The following is a 16984-nucleotide window of genomic DNA, read 5'->3' as shown; positions in this document are numbered from 1 at the left end:
CAAAAAATGGCAAGGTGGTGCATACCTGTAATCCCAGCTATTCTGGAGGCTGAGGTCGATCACTTGAGCCCAAGAGTTCAAGGCTGCAGTGAGCTATGATTGCACCACTGCACCCCCAACCCAGGTGACAGACAAAAACCCTATTTTTTTTTAAAAAAAAAGCAGGGGTGGGGGTGGTTTGAGGGTCAGGCCACAACCTACTGAATCACAGTCTCTAAAGGACAATTACTTACTTGAAAGTAACTTTCAAGAACCAACACTCACATCTTAATAACTCCTCTTTGGAAAGCCTATTAAAATGGAACTGTCTTGGAGGAGAAACACACTGATTAGTTGATCCCCAGGGGGTAGAACTAGGGACTGGAAAGCCTGTCCCAGGAGGCAGGGAATGGCTGGCAGGACCCTGAGCTGACGGGAGGAGGAGGATGCTGAGATTGGGGAGTGAGCCCTGGGGAGCCCCCAGGCAAGAACGAACGCCCCATGTGCTGCCGCCTCTCCTGCTGCTGGAGTGCAGGCCACGTGCGCAGGTGCACCACTGGCCTATAGGACTCTGGGCAGTTCTTTTCACTTTCTGGACCTTAATTTTCCCTTTATGGAAGAAAATGAAAACCAGGCCCCACCTGAGTTTGTTGTGTGTAGCAAAGAGGGAGGGAACCAAACCTACTCCTAAAAGAAGATGTGGTGAATTTGATTCACACCAATAAGTATCCATCTTCTTTAGATGAAAAGCTCCAACCTGCTGCAAGTTTGCAGGGTGCACCTGCAATAGGCATTTGCTATTCCTGTTGTTTACACTTCACACTGAATTTCACAGACCTATTTCCATCATGATCCACAATTTAAAGAAATATTTCCCAAACTTGTATACACATTTCAATATCTATCAACTGAAACAAACATTTCATGAAACAAAACCTACCCTTACGTACAATATAGAATATTTTCCATTGTATTCCTGTTCGTATTTTAAAAATCTTGGTCACGACCCACTAAACTCATTACACGGCCTTCAGATAGGTCACAACTGGAACTTTAAAAAGCACTGCCCAGAGTAAATCACAACGGTTCAACATCCACGAATTTACATGGTTCTCTCTCCTGGGTGACTGGTGTATGTACTGGTGTACATTCTACTGAGAAGGTAAAGGGCTCCACTAGGTGAACTGTCCAAGGTCACAGGTGCCGAGTGCCCTTCAGATCTGGCTGAGGCTCTGTGCAGAACGGCTTTTCCTGCGTGGCAAACACCATACCTTGATTGCCAGCTGTTCCCAAGAACCAAAGACACTTCCCCTGGGGAGGGAAGAGGAGTCTGTACAAAATGACAGAGCCTCCAGCCAACCAGAACTGGCCTACTCAGACCCACCCTCTTCCAGGTGATTGGCCCCAAAAGGGTTGCCAGCCCCACTCCACCTTGGGGCCAGCTTCCCCCAAAAGGTTGCATCCCCGGCAGGTCCCTCGCAGGCAGTCCATCCTGACTGCTCCTGTGGGTGCAGCTCCTCAGGTAAAGGGGGAGGAGCTGCTTGTTCCAGATCTCCAGGAGCAGGCCATTTCTTCCCCAGCTCTAAGCTGGGAAAGTTTGCTCCAGGCCATCCTACCTGCTTCCCCATATGGCTCTCAAGGAGGGACTCAGGTGAGGGGGGACAATGGTATGGAGAGGAAGAAAGCTTGGGGACAGCTGAGCTAAGAGGGATCCAGTCTGATGGCTAAAACAGTACCAAGGGGAGGCACCAGAGTGAGCCCAGGAGTACCAGCTGAGCCTCCAGTCCTGGGGAAAGGTGGCTCCGAGAGGGGACATTGCCCCAGGAGAAGAAAGACAATCCGTGTGCATGGACACCGGGGTGGGGGAGGTTGTATTCCACAAGATTTTGTAGCCAATGAAAAGCTGGACTCCCCTTGCTTCCCTTAACTCTAAACCCCCTTGGCGAGCCGGAAAGCAGAGACCCGGGGGTACATTCCCTCCCCGACTGTAACTGAGAGCTCCCTCTATCCCCACTGGGACTGATGGTCCAGGACTAGGAACCTGTGCCCCCTTAAGACCTAATGGCTGATCTTTAACCCTTTCTTGAAGCCAACGAGAGTGGGGAGCAGGGCACAGGGTGGAGCTTGAGGGACCACCTTCTGCAGGTAGAACCTGAACAAGAAATGTGGAGGAGTGGACTGATCAGGGGCCTCCACAGACCACGGGCTCCCAGGCTGGGGCATAGGAGGGGCAGGAGGAGCTGGTGGGTCCCACCCAGTCCTGGGTCTCAGCACCCTCCCAGGCCTGACCACAGGAGTTCACAAGACCAACTCTGCCTGTGTGCCCTGGCTGAGGCCCAGAGCCCAGAATAAGCATCGGTTTGCCCTACCCTGGTTGGGAGGAGGCTGGTGAAGAGGGTGGGACAGCCACAGAGGGGGAGAAAGCCCCTCCAGCCTTTTCCTGCTCCTGTAGTACCTTACGCAGTACCTCGCACACCTCCCACAGTGCACCTCCCGAGGCAGCCTTGCCAGCTCCCAGTACGGGGTTTGACCAGGCTTCTAGGAACCAGAGAAGCCCAGCTGCAGCCAGCCCTCCAGGAGCTCAGACAGGAGCTGAATAGAGTGCGAAGGGAAGAAGCCAAGCCCACGGGGAGAAATAACAGGGCCGAGAACCTTGTGAGATGAGCCTCAGGGCTGAGCTAGGCCCAGGTCAAATGGAACCCAAATGCCATGCTGGAAGCTCTGGCTGGGGGATCGGGCAGTCCTACTCAAAGCCCAACCCCACCCATTACCCGCCGTGCAAATGCCTTGGTGTAAAGTGTAAACAGGAATGGCAAATGCCTACTGAAGGTGCACCCTGAAAACCTGCAGTAGGTTGGGGCTTTTCACCTAAAGAACACGGATACTTATTGGAGGAGAAACAAGCTGATTAGTTGATCCCCAGGGGGTAGAACTAGGGACTGGAAAGCCTGGTGCCCCAGGAGGCAGGGAATGACTGGCAGGACCCTGAGCTGACAGGGGAGGAGAGGATGCTGAGATTGGGGAGTGAGCCGTGGGGAGCCCCCAGGCAAGAACGAACGCCCCATGTGCTGCCTCCTCTCCTGCTGCTGGAGTGCAGGCCACGTGCGCAGGTGCACCACTGGCCTATAGGACTCTGGGCAGTTCTTTTCACTTTCTGGACCTTAATTTTCCCTTTATGGAAGAAAATGAAAACCAGGCCCCACCTGAGTTTGTTATATGTGTAGCAAAGAGGGAGGGAACCAAACCTACTCCTAAAAGAAGATGTGGTGCATCTGATTCACACCAATGAGGCCGCCCAGCCTTGCAGAGGTGAGCTGTCACTGAGATCTGCTCCAAGCCTCCATGCATCCTCTCTCACACAGTGACCCTGGCCCAGCCCCCTTGCTGAGCGCTGCCCTGAGGTATTGTGTGTCCCCTGGACAGCAGTATTCACCTGAGTGTCCCAACTCAGTGCTTCTCAAGCTGCAGTTTGCATTTCCTTGATCTTTCCTTCTATGTTCTCAGCGATTGATCCCAGTGACCCAAATGGACCCCTGCTTTCTCCCCTGAGCAACTGCAACCCTAAGCAAGTGATTTAACCTTTCTAAGCCTCAGTTTCCTCATTTATAAAGTAGACATAAGCACAGCATCTCCTTCAAGGGGCTGTGGTGTGCCTTTAACAGGACAGGCACATAATACACTTGGCCAGGTATCCGTCTCAGTGTCTGGGATTATGCATAAGGAGTGCAGACTTAATCTTGAAGAAAATGGAGTTTTAAGCAAAGGAGTACCAGTCAACTTGGAAGAGAGAATGAACACAAATAACTCATTCGTTGTTTCATTCATTTGCTGAACAAATAATTATCAATAGCATGAATTATGAGGCAGAGGCATAATGAGTGAGGCAGACAGTCCCTAGCATCGCTTGGCAGGTACTGGAGGAGAGGTCTGGGAAAGGGACAGAGGCACATCCTGGGGGAGGGACCTAACGGAGGAGATGTCAAGGCCAGCTTCAGACAGGAGGAAGCTGGGTGCTGAGGAATGATGCGGAGCTTGTTGGCTGATGGAAGGAAGAGTGCAATCAGAACAGAATACAGAGGTGGGGAAGCCTAGGAGACTTCATAGTGAAGGGTAAAAGATGGAGACTCGGAGGCAGGGTCAGGAGGCTGTTATAGGAATCCAAGTGAGAAACAAGGAGGCACAGATAGGACAGTGAGGGAGGCCAGGAGGGGAGTTTTGGGCACTAGGAAGGAGGCAAAAGCAACAACTTGGCTGTCGGGAGAGAAAGCAGGGGTCCCACTTGGGTCACTGGGATCAATCGCTGAGAACACAGGAAGGGGAGAGTGAATGGCAGGATGGGGGAGGAGTGAGTAGGGGGACGGAGGAGAGTGAGTGGGAGAACCCCCAGGGTTTGCTGATGGGCTGCATGTGGGGCATTAAATTATTTGTAACAATATTTTTATTTAAACCAGCACATCCGAATTTATACCTGTTTCACTGTTTTAATGTGGCTACTAGACATGTTTAAATTACATGTGACTCACACTATACTTCCACTGGATGATGCTATTCAAGATCTCTTCCTACACTCATGAAAGAACGCGGCTATACGTGACTGCAAAGGCTCGAGTGCACAGGCACAGATGCTTCCCCCTGCCAGAAGCAAGGTCTGCCTCTCCGTATTAGTTATTCCTTCCTTTTCACCTTAACACATTAGGGTCTGTTTTCCAGAGAGTACATATAAATCTACCTCACCCTTTTCAATAGCCATGTTGATTTCTATTATACAAGTTGAGCACCCCTCATCCAAAAATCTGAAATCCAAAACGCTCTAGAATCCGAAATTTTTTGAGCACTGACAGGACATTCAAAGGAAATGCTCCCACTGGAGCATTTTGAATTTCAGATTTCCAGATTAGGGATACTTAGCCAGTAAATACAATGCAAATATTCAAAACTCCAAAAAAGTCCAAAATCCAAAACACTTTTGGTCCAAACTTTTGGATAAAGGATACCCAACCTGTATAGAGATGCCTAATTCATTGATCCAGTTCCCTACTGATGAACCCTGGGGTTGTTGCATTAGTTTGCTTTTTCAGAGAAGGCTATGGGAACATCCTGGGACTAGTCACTGCAGAGTCTCCATTCCTAGCTGCAGGCAAGCTGGCCAGGGGCTGTGAGCACTGACAGTGTTACAGTGGAGGAGCTGGACTTGGGAGGCTTCTCAGGCATGGTTAAGAGATGTGGACGGTGTCCTGCACTCAGCAGGAAACCACAAAATAACTTCAATTTTTTTGTGTGTAAATTGCTAACTTTGAATTTTTCCTTCATTAAAAAAGCAACCTACTGTAAATACATTACAGAAAATTGAGGAGAAAATAAGAAACTAATTTTATTGCACAAACACATTCTTCCTTTTAGTCTTATTTTCTGATGCACGTTTTTATTCTTGCTTAAATTGTAATCAGAGTGCACCTCAATTTTAGATCCTGCTTTTTTCCTTTCATGTTCCTGTATGAGCATTTTTCTACGTGACTGCAGAGTCTTCCTAACACGTTTATTTGCCAGTCCCTTCAGCTGGACACTAAAGCCTTCTTCAGTTATATTTGAGGAGCTGAGATAATGCCTCTCCCTGTGACCCAAAACGCCTTCTCTGTGGGTGCTTTCCAGGCAGCATTCAACCAAGCTCAAGTCTCGCTTGTGTAAGGGAAACAAGCACACACCCATCAATACAACCACCCTGTCCCCTCCAGTTGCCACCCCATCTCTGTCCTCCTTACAGCCCGACTTCTGGAAAGACAGCCCCACTCCCACCCAACCCATGTGCCTCTCCTTAAGTCCTCTACCTCCTCAGTCTCCCTCCCATTCCCACCTGGTCTAGGCCTGGGCCCTGGCCTCCTCTCCCTCTGTACTCTCTCCCTCTCTCCCATAACATCCCTGCCCTCCTGGCAAATCCCAGAACTTTCTCCTGAGCCTGCCTGCCTTCTGGGCTCCAGCCCCCTTCCTCCAACCAGACAACCAGGCATCTTCTCCTTTCTGGTACCTCAGCCCCGTCCCTCAAATCCATGGCCAAGTCTTGCCCATGTGCCCTCCCTGACAGCCCCTCACCACCTATTCCTCCCCATCCAGCTGCCAACTCCCTGGTGTTGCCCCTGATACCTCCCAGGGGCTGGCACCTAACTCATCTTCCTGCCTCCAGCAGTGCCCTCCCTGCCACCCCACCATGGCCAGGCTCCAGATTTCAGCTGGAGTACTTTCAGGTTTGTGGAGGGTTTTTTTGTTTGTTGGTTTTTGGGTTTTTTGTTTTGTTTTGTTTTGTTTTTTCAAATAAAAATCTGACTGAGTCACTCCCCAGAGGAAATACCTTTCAGGGCTCCCCATGACCCTCAAGATGAAGTCCAATTCCCCGAGCCTGACATGCGGGCCCTGGGTGACCTGGCCCCGGCTCACCTCTGCAGCCTCATCCCTCCCTCCTCATCTGCTACTACACTCCACCCTGCAGTTCCACAGACATTCCAGGAGTGAGGCTTCCTCACTTTTGCATACTGTTGTTTCTTTTCCATGGACCTCTCTTCCCCCTCCATGCCTTCTTCACCTGAAGAACTTCTATTAATAATTTTTTAGGTCCTACCTTAGAAGTCAACTCCTCCTCCAGGAGGCCCCAACTACCTCCTCATCTACGAAGGCTCAGGTGCTACTCTCCAATTTGCCTCATAGCATCTGATACTGTTCCCAATCACAGCATTCATTGTGCCGTGTTCCACACATCTGTTTTCAGTGTGTCATGTGACCCATACCCTCACCACTGCCCCCCCGCCCAACTACACCCACATCTTCCTGACTCCGCACCCTGAAGACAGGGTCTGTGTCTCATTCACCTCTGAATCCCTGACTTAGCACAGTGCTTGACGCTGAGCTTGTGTCCAATAAATATACGTTGAATGCACGACTTAACAGAAACTGATGAACATCTTGATGCATAAACTTTTCTCATTCTGAAGATTATCTCCTTTGAACAGATTCCCAGAAGCTTGGAATTATTGAATCAAAGTGGATGAATATTGAACACTTTCAATTCCCATAGCTAAGTAGCTTTCCAAATGGCTGTAGCAATTTACACTCCCACCAGCAAGTGTAAGAGCACCAATCTCACTGCATTCTTGCAGCTTGGCTATTCTCATTATGCCTTTTATTTTTAAAATCAAGACAGGGTCTACCTCTGCCACCCAGGCTGGAGTCCAGTGGCATGATCATAGCTTACTGTAACCTGTAACTCCTGGGCTCAAGCGATCCTCCTGCCTCAGCCTCCTGAATAGCTGGAACTACAGGTGCATACCATCTGGCTAATTTTTTTTTTTTTTTTTTTTGAGACAGAGTCTTGCTCTGTCACCAGGCTGGAGTACAGTGGTGTGATCTCAGCTCACTGCAACCTCCGCCTCCCAAGTTCAAGTGATTCTCCTGCCTCAGCCACCCAAGTAGCTGGGACTACCGACGCGTGCCACCACGGCCAGCTAATTTTTGTATTTTTAGTAGAGATGGGGTTTCACCGTGTTGGCCAGGATGGGCTCGATCTCTTGACCTTGTGATCCACCCGCTCGGCCTCCCAAAGTGCTGGGATTACAGGCATGAGCCACCACGCCCAGCCCCGGCTAATTTAATTTTTTGCAGAGGCAGGGTCTTGCTCCGTTGCCCGGGCTGATCTCGAACTCCTGGCCTCAAGCAATTCTCCTGCCTTGACCTCCGAAAACACTGGGATTACATGCACAAGCCCCTCCCAGCCCTATTATGTTTTTTTTTAAAAAGTGCTCATTTTATAGGCAAAACATACCACCTTGTTCTAATTTGTATATCTTTGATTGCCAGTGAGGGTGAACATTTTTCCATATATTTGCCTACTAAATGCACTTCTTCTTTGAGGATTTACCTGTTTGTGTGACATGGAAACTGTTAAGGCAGGCTGACTTGTTATGAGATGACTCTGGGGTTGTGGAGGAAGTGACCAGGAGCATGAAGAGTGCTGCTGCAATGATCCCGTGACGGAGGAGCAGGCGAGGGTCACTGTGGGGCACGGGGAAGAGCAGGGGGAGCAGAGATCAAGGAGACCAGGTCAACCCGGGACTGAAAGCAGACAGCAGGTGCAGAGCAGGAGGGGTCAGGGTGCACCCAGGTTTCTGGCTTGGCGCAGTGAACTGGAGGAGGGGCTGTGCTCAGAGACAGTGCCCAGGTGGATCCACACACCTGCAAGGCAGTTCGCAGCACTCTTTACTAGACACACCTGCTGAGGAACAGCGACGTGGGGCAGCAGGAGAGGCAGGGGCAGGAGGGTCTGAAGCTGGCGGCCTTCTTGAAAGAGACCAGGGGAGCCAGGTTTTGAAAGGATTTGTAGGCCGGACACGGTGGCTCACGCCTGTAATCCTAGCACTTTGGGAGGCCGAGGTGGGTGGATCACCGGAGGTCAGGAGTTTGAGACCAGCCTGGCCAACATGGCGAAACCCCGTCTCTACTAAAAATACAAAAATTAGCTGGGCAAGGTGGTGGGCACTCGTAATCCCAGCTATTCGGGAGGCTGAGTCACGAGAATCACTTGAACCCAGGAGGCAGAGGTTGCAGTGAGCTGAGACTGTGCCATTGCACGCTAGCCTGGGCTACAGAGCGAGACTCCATCTCAAAAAAAAAAAAAAAAAAAAAAAAGAGGAAGGAAGGAAGGAAAGAAGGATGGATGGATGGATGGATTTGTAGGGGCAGGGAGTGGAGTGAGGAGGCTGCCCAGGTGACGATCAGGGTGTGTTCAGGAAGAATGGTCATCACTAGATAAAGCTGAGTGAACTATTGCAACATGAGAGGCCTTGTTCTCAACGCTTAGCTTGTGTGAAGGCAATGACAGCCCTAAGGCAGGAGTTCTTATTACCCCATCCTATAGATGAGACTGATGTGCAGAGGACCAGACCTTGCCCCAGGGTCAGAGAGCTAATGAGTGGTGGAGCTGGGATTCGAACCCAGGGCTCTGGCCCCCGTGTCTGTGCTCCTTACCACGTGGCTCCAGTTGCTCTAGATACGTGAGTACTCAGGAAGGTGGGGTGACAGTGGAACAAGCTCCCCAGAAGGAGCTTATTAAGATTCTCAGCATTTGGAGCCCTTCCTGGAAAACGAAGTGTGGACAAATCCCAAAGCCCACCTCTTCTGAGCCAAGAATTGGGCTGCTGAGCTCTGCTTGGAGGAGTTCACCTGGCCTGGTGACTGGAGCCACCACAGACACCTGGTCTCTGACCACAGCCAGCCCAGTAACTCTTCTCTAAGTCCCAGACAGCTTTTAACTCCCAGTGACTGAGGCGGGAGGATTGCTTGAGCTGAGTTGGAGACAAGCGTGGGCAACATAGCAAGACCCCATCTCTAAAAAAAAAAAAAAAATACAAAATTAGGCGTCTATAGTCCCAGCTACACAGGAGGCTGAGGTGGGAGGATAGCTTGAGCCCAGGAGTTCAAGGCTGCAGTGAGCTGTGATCACACCACAACACTCCAGCCTGGGTGACAGAGTGAGGCTGTCTCAAAAAAAAAAAAAAAAAAAAAAAAAACTCCGTCACTGAGCCACAAACACTTGTGCATCCTCTCCTGGCCTCTCCTGTCCAAGGTCAGTCCCACCTTCCACCCAGGATAAGTAAGTACCTCAACCCCTAACGTTATCATCCCCGCAACCTGCCCAAGGTCATGCCCCTGCACAAGAAACTGGTAACACTGGCTACCTTCATGCAGAAGAACCAGCTGGCTGGAAGTAAGAAAGACTTTTCATGTATGTGTGCATATAAATATTTGTGTCTATACATATAAATGAGTTACTGATGCCCCCCTCCCGCCCCCAGGGCCTGGAAGAGAATCTTCTGGCGGCAGATCCTACTTACACTTGGCCTCTTAGGCCTGTTTCTGTATGGCCTCCCTAAATTCAGGTAAAAGCCCCTTTCCCCAGCACTTGAGGTAGGACCACAGTCAGGTTTAAAGGGGATCTGTCTAAGTGCCTCCTTGAGGGATGGAGGGCAGTGGCTAACTCAGCTCAAGTGTCCTTGTGAGCTCTCTCTCCTTGTAAGAAGCAAAGCCAGAGGGCTCCTGGCCAGGCTGACATGCTTCTCACGGCTGCCTGCCCCCCGCCCCTCAACCCACCACAGGCATCTGGAAGCCCTCATCCCCATGGGCGTCTGCCCTTCGGCCACAATGTCCCAGCTGAGAGACAACTTCACAGGTGCCCTGCGTCCCTGGTAAGAAGCTCCCATCCCTCCTACTCCAAGGGCACCCCCAAACCCTACACAGCTCTGCCCCATGTCCCTGCCCTCCACACATCTCCCACCCCAGCAGAGCCAGGCACTCTGCCACCAAGTCCAGCAGCCCCATCGGGCCACACATCTCCCAGTCCTCTGTGTTGCTCTGAGCTGGAGGCTTCCAGGGGCAGCAACTAGGTCTCATCGGTCTATGGGTCCCTAGGGCTCAGCACTGGGGAGGTGGCAGTGAACATGCACCAAGTGGGTGGATGAATGGAGCTATTTCCATTTCCCATCCCTGCCCTGGCCAGGGCCCGGCCTGAAGTTCTGACCTGTACCCCCTGGGGGGCTCCCATTATTTGGGATGGCTCTTTCGACCCAGATGTGGCCAAGCAAGAGGCTAGACAGCAGAACCTCACCATTGGGCTGACTATCTTTGCTGTAGGCAGGTAAGGCCTGGGAAGGGGAGCAGTGCTGTCAAAGCTGTGAGTGGGAGGGGTGTGCATGTGATGAAGGAGGCGGGGCACCCTGCTCCCCTGTGCCATGGGATCCCAAAGTGAAGCGAGAAGCAAAGACAACACTTCTTGCCCCACACCCCCAGATGAGCACAGGACCATCCTTCTCCTCCTCCCTGGACACCAACACCATAGAGCCCGCCCAACACAGGCAGCCAGGGCTGTTCTAGAACCACATCTGGAAGGGACCTGCCTAGGGGCTGGGACTCATCCATCTGGAGGCACTGGTTTTGTAGTGAGAAAATGATGGAGTCTTTCAGGTGAGAGTGGTGAGAGGAGGGGAGTGTGACTGGGTAAGTAGAGGGATGATTCACTGCATTCGGTGCCCATTGGAGGTCAGCAGCTCAGGTGCAGGTACATAGGATTGTGGGGGCAGGTGCCAAGCAAGTCTGATGAAGGGAGAGGGGCTGGGGAGCTGAAGGATTGCAAGGGAGTGAATCTGAACTGGGCAGAGGGAAGTGAAGAGAGGAAGGGGGTGACAAATACTGAAGTGGCAAGGTCACCAGATTAGAGGATTCAGTGAGGTAGGACTGTTTTGGGTTGGGGGTGGTAATCACAGTAAGTGAGCTAGAAGAACGAGGTCCTTACAGAGTGGGACAGACACTGATGAAGATCAAGTTGAGGGAGTAGCCATGGGAACAGGTAACTGTGAAGGGAACAGGTGACCGTGGAGGGCACGGGAAAATCACTACAGGAAAGGAGGTCAAGAGAAGAAATGGCAGCGGGGTGCTGACCTCCCCACTATGGATGACAGGGAGTGTCTAAACTGGGTGTCGACCTTCCTGAAGTGACACGAAGGGGACTCTTGGCTGACAGTGGCAGTCAGATCCTATAACCTAGTTTCGGGCAACTAAAAGAGGCATTTCTAAAAGTGGAACTAGTTGCTTTGGGAAGGTGGTGAGAGCCTCCCATTCAGGAAGGATGGGGAAGGAATTTTGTTACCAGATACCCCAGACAACTGTTCAAGGCTCCTCGAACTCTGTCCCCCACACCCTACAAGGGAGGGAAAGCCAGGAGTGCCACTGACAGGCAAGGGGATGAAAAGGACCAAGGGCTGCCCCGTGGACCAGGCGGGCAGAACTGCTGGGCTACTTGGGCCTTCGTCTCTCCCAAGGCCTCGGTGCTCCCACTTCCATCACACATGCGGAGTAGGGCGTTCCTGCCCCAGCCCTAGGGTCAGACACTCAATGTACAGAAAATTCTGGGATACTGAGGTCCTGAGTTCCAAGATTCTGAGTCCAACACCACGAAATGCTGAGATTTCCTAGGTCTCTGATTCCCATTTCCCACAGTCACCAGGAATAGAGCAAGTGCAAGTAAAGGTACAGGCTCTAAGGCCAAGCTGGGTTCAAATCCTGGCTCAACCACTTACCAATGGTACATACAAGTTTCTAACGCTCTTTAGATGAGACAATGCACATTGACATAGAAAGCAGTGGCTGCCACATGATAAAAGTTCAAAGTATTATTAGGCACTGTTACTACTATTTTAAAGTCCTAGGATCCCAAGGTCTGTTCATACAGTATTCCAGGCAGCCTCGTTATCTATATAGTGAAAGACAGTGACTTAAAACAACTTATTATTATAGCTCATAAAATAATTCCCCTCTCCCTCTCCCCGGTCTTCCTCTCCCTGGTCTCCCTCTCCCCGGTCTCCCTCTCCCCGGTCTCCCTCTCCCTCTCCCTCTCTCTCCACGGTCTCCCTCTGATGCCGAGCCGAGGCTGGACTGTACTGCCGCCATCTCGGCTCACTGCAACCTCCCTGACTGATTCTCCTGCCTCAGCCTGCCGAGTGCCTGGGATTGCAGGCGCGCGCCGCCATGCCTGACTGGTTTTTGTATTTTTTGGTGGAGTCGGAGTTTCGCCGTGTTGGCCGGGCTGGTCTCCAGCTCCTGACTGCGAGTGATCTGCCCGCCTCGGCCTCCCGAGGTGCCGGGATTGCAGACGGAGTCTCGCTCACTCAGTGCTCAATGTTGCCCAGGCTGGAGTGCAGTGGCGTGATCTCAGTTCGCTACAACCTCCACCTACCAGCTGCCTGCCTTGGCCTACCAAAGTGCCGAGATTGCAGCCTCTGCCCGGCCGCCTCCCCATCTGGGAAGTGAGGAGCGTCTCTGCCTGGCCGTCCATCGTCTGGGATGTGAGGAGCCCCTCTGCCCGGCCGCCCAGTCTGGGAAGTGAGGAGCGCCTCTTCCCGGCCGCCATCCCGTCTAGGAAGTGAGGAGCGTCTCTGCCCGGCCGCCCATCGTCTGAGATGTGGGGAGCGCCTCTGCCCCGCCGCCCTTTCTGGGATGTGAGGAGTGCCTCTGCCTGGCCGTGACCCCCGTCTGGGAACTGAGGAGCGTCTCTGCCCGACCGCCACCCCGTCTGGGAGGTGAGGAGTGTCTCTGCCCGGCCGCCCCGTCTGAGAAGTGAGGAGCCCCTCCGCCCGGCAGCCGCCCCACCTGGGAAGTGAGGAGCGTCTCCACCCAGCAGCCGCCCCATCCAGGAGGTGGGGGGCAGCCCCCGCCCGGCCAGCCGCCCCATCCGGGAGGGACGTGGGGGACAGCCCCCGCCTGGCCAGCCGCCCCGTCCGGGAGGGAGGTGGGGGGCAGCCCCCGCCCGGCCAGCCCCCCGTCTGGGAGGTGGGGGGGCGCCTCTGCCCAGCCACCCCGTCTGGGAAGTGAGGAGCCCCTCTGCCTGGCCGCCACCCCGTCTGGGAGGTGTACCCAACAGCTCATTGAGAACAGGCCATGATGATGGTGGTGGTTTTGTCGAATAGAAAAGGGGGAAATGTGGGGAAAAGAAAGAGAAATCAGATTGTTACTGTGTCTGTGTAGAAAGAAGTAGACATAGGATACTCCATTTTGTTCTGTACTAAGAAAAATTCTTCTGCCTTGGGATGCTGTTAATCTATAACCTTACCCCCAACCCCGTGCTCTCTGAAACATGTGCTGTGTCCACTCAGGGTTAAATGGATTAAGGGCGGTGCAAGATGTGCTTTGTTAAACAGATGCTTGAAGGCAGCATGCTCGTTAAGAGTCATCACCGCTCCCTAATCTCAAGTACCCAGGGACACAAACAGTGCAGAAGGCCGCAGGGTCCTCTGCCTAGGAAAACCAGAGACCCTTGTTCACATGTTTATCTGCTGACCTTCCCTCCACTATTGTCCTATGACCCTGCCAAATCCCCCTCTCTGAGAAACACCCAAGAATGATCAATAAATACTAAAAAAAAAAAAAAAAAAAAAAAAAAAAAACAACTTTGACATGACAAAAAAATAATAATAATAATTCTGTGGAGGGCCAGGCGTAGTAGCTCACACCTGTAATCCCAGCACTTTGGGAGGCCCGAGACGGGAGGATCACCTGAGGTCAGAGTTCGAGACCAGCCTGGCCAACACGGTGAAACCCCATCTCTACTAAAAATACAAAAAAATTGGCCGGGCGTGGTGGTGGCCACTTGTAATCCCAGCTACTTGGAGCCTGAGGCAGGAGAATCGCTTGAAGCCGGGAGGCAGAGGTTGTAGTGAGCTGAGATAGCGCCACTGTACTCCAGCCTGGGCCACAGGAGCGAAACGCTATCTCAAAAATAATAATTCTGTGTGTCAGTAATTCAGACAGGGCTCAGCAGGAAGGGCTCCTCTTCTCATGCTCTCAAATGTCTGCGTCTCAGCTGGGAGACCAACTGCTGAAGACTGGTGGGGGCCAGCTTAGGCTTCCTCACTCATGGCAGCACCCAAGTTCTGGGACTTCTTATATGGAGGCTTAGAGCTCTAAAGAGAGAAACGCTGCCAGTCGTCCAAAGGGCCAGTATGAGGCAGGAGTGGCAGGCAATTTGCAAGCATCTTCAGTCCAACCTGCCCTGCCCCATCTAAGTTGAAAGATGCTAGGGCTAGAGGGTCCGGAGTTCCAAGGCCGGGTGTGGGGAGGACCAGGCAGCACTGGTGGGGTGGGGGTAAGGTTGCGGTGGGGGTGAGGTTGCGGTGGGGGTGAGGTGGGTGAGGTTGGGGTGGGGTAGGGGTGAGGTGGGGTGAAGTGAGGTTGGGGTGGGGGTGGGGTGAGGTTGAGGTGGGGGTGAGGGTTGGGTGGGGTGAGAAGGGGGTGAAGGCTGGGTGGGGCAGCAGTGGGGGTGAGGTGGGGGTGAGCTTGGGTTAGGCGCGCTGAGGTGGGGGTAGGGATAAGGTTGGGGTGGGGTGAGGTTGGGGTGGGGGTGAGGGTTGGGGTGGGTGGGTTGAGGTGGGGGTGAAGGTTGGGTGGGGTGGGGGTGGGGGGGAGGTGGGAGTGGGGTGAGGTGGGGATGGAGTGAGGTTGGGGTAGGGTGAGATGGGGATGACGGTTGGGTGGTGTGGGGTGGGGGTGAGGATTGGGTGGTGTGAGGTGGGGGTGAGGGTTGGGAGGGGTGGGATGAGGTGGGGGTGAGGGTGGGGTGGGAGTGGGGGTGAGGGTGGGGTGGGAGTGGGGGTGAGGGTGGGGTGGGAGTAGAGGTGAGATGAGGTGGGGAGGCCGGGCCCGCCTCGCTTCACTCTCAGGCTGACGGTGGCGCCGCGCCCTTAGATACCTGGAGAAGTACCTGGAGCGCTTCCTGGAGACGGCGGAGCAGCACTTCATGGCGGGCCAGAGCGTGATGTACTACGTGTTCACCGAGCTTCCGGGAGCGGTGCCCCGCGTGGCGCTGGGCCCGGGACGCCGGCTGCCCGTGGAGCGCGTGGCGCGCGAGCGGCGCTGGCAAGACGTGTCGATGGCGCGCATGCGCACGTTGCACGCGGCGCTGGGCGGGCTGCCGGGCCGCGAGGCGCACTTCATGTTCTGCATGGACGTGGACCAGCACTTCAGCGGCACTTTTGGGCCCGAGGCGCTGGCCGAGTCGGTGGCGCAGCTGCACTCCTGGCACTACCACTGGCCGTCGTGGCTGCTGCCCTTCGAACGCGACGCGCATTCGGCCGCCGCGATGGCGTGGGGCCAGGGCGACTTCTATAACCACGCGGCGGTGTTCGGGGGCAGCGTGGCGGCGCTGCGCGGGCTGACGGCGCACTGTGCGGGGGGCCTGGACTGGGACCGCGCGCGCGGCCTGGAGGCGCGCTGGCACGACGAGAGCCACCTCAACAAGTTCTTCTGGCTGCACAAGCCCGCCAAGGTGCTGTCGCCCGAGTTCTGCTGGAGCCCGGACATCGGCCCGCGGGCCGAGATCCGCCGCCCGCGACTGCTGTGGGCGCCCAAGGGGTACCGGCTGCTGCGGAACTAGCGCCGCCGCCGGTTCCCGGCCCTCCGGCTTCTCCGCCGGCCCAGCCGGCCCGGCCTCACTCCCGCTCCGGGCGTCTTCGGCCCCGGGAAGGTGTGGAGTGGGAGTCACTAGAGGAAGAGATCCTGAAACCGGGCGGGGCCCTTCTGGACGCTGATGGCGCTCTGGAGAGCAGAGAGATACTGGATACAAAAGCCCTACCCGCTTCGTGTGCGCCAGTCCGTGGGAGTGGGAGTAGGAGGGAGAGCTCCTCGCCTTTGGGGAGCTCCTCACTTCAAGAGAAAAATCCCCTTCCCTTAGCTTAGCAGTGAGCGAGGCTCAACTGCAGTAGAGCCCCGAGCTATCAGCCTATAGACCTTTCACCCCTGAGCCTGCAGAATGCAGCTGGTGTCTCTGGAGATGTTTTAGTCCCACCTGCAACCCCTTTTTTAAATGAGGAGACTGAGATACAAAAGAGGAAACATAACTGCCCAAGGACACAGAGGGTCCGAGTCACTGTGATGTCAGCGGCTGGAGAGGCGTGGCTGGCCCCTCGGGATGTCTCTGGGCAGGAGCCACAGGAAGAAACACAGGGGGCACCCCGTCATTCGCTCTGCCCTTTTACCTCCCCTGCTCATAAGCATGGTTTGTACATATTTCAGTAATATTATGATAAATTATTCCTGTGCTGCGAGACAAAGTAGCAAACATAAGAAGCCATGTTTGCTCCTTTCCCTTGCCAGCATAATTTCACAAAACCCTAACTGTGACAGCATATAGCTGTCAAAACAACACAGCTCCCCACGTCCCTTGCCAGAGTCACTATATTCCCTAAAAAAATAAGTGACTCTAGATATATCTCCATATAAGATAATGTCAGTTGGGGTTAATGATCATGCTTCTATAAACTATAACCAGATACACTCTTACATACAAACTTAGATATAATTTTACGCATACTGAAGCTTCACCACCTATATCTAAACTCTAAACTAAAATACTACATTCAGGCCGGGCATAGTGGCTCATGCCTGTAATCCCAGCACTTCGGGAGGCTGAGACATACAG

The 16984-nt window shown here is 53.5% G+C and overlaps 1 protein-coding gene across 1 annotated transcript, besides 1 other annotated feature; it reads left to right on the top strand.

Annotated features, from left to right (window-relative positions):
- Positions 1-1607: 1607 nt before the first annotated feature.
- On the top strand, positions 1608-15940 carry A3GALT2 (alpha 1,3-galactosyltransferase 2). Its single transcript, NM_001080438.1, has 5 exons — positions 1608-1630; positions 9816-9899; positions 10116-10205; positions 10517-10654; positions 15253-15940. Exons 1-5 carry the CDS (start codon positions 1608-1610, stop codon positions 15938-15940), a joined length of 1023 nt encoding a protein of 340 aa, NP_001073907.1.
- Positions 11232-11432: a silencer, noted in NCBI's record as "peak168 fragment used in MPRA reporter construct". NCBI's record gives its function as "represses an SCP1 promoter by STARR-seq MPRAs in K562 erythroleukemia cells {active_cell/tissue: K562}" and the evidence as "EXISTENCE:reporter gene assay evidence [ECO:0000049][PMID:32103011]".
- Positions 15941-16984: the final 1044 nt, after the last annotated feature.

The sequence above is a fragment of the Homo sapiens genome, chromosome 1 (genome assembly GCF_000001405.40).
Source record: "Homo sapiens chromosome 1, GRCh38.p14 Primary Assembly".
Lineage (NCBI taxonomy): Eukaryota > Metazoa > Chordata > Mammalia > Primates > Hominidae > Homo > Homo sapiens.
Note: the sequence above shows the minus strand (reverse complement) of the source record. Positions and strands in the feature narration are given on the sequence as shown.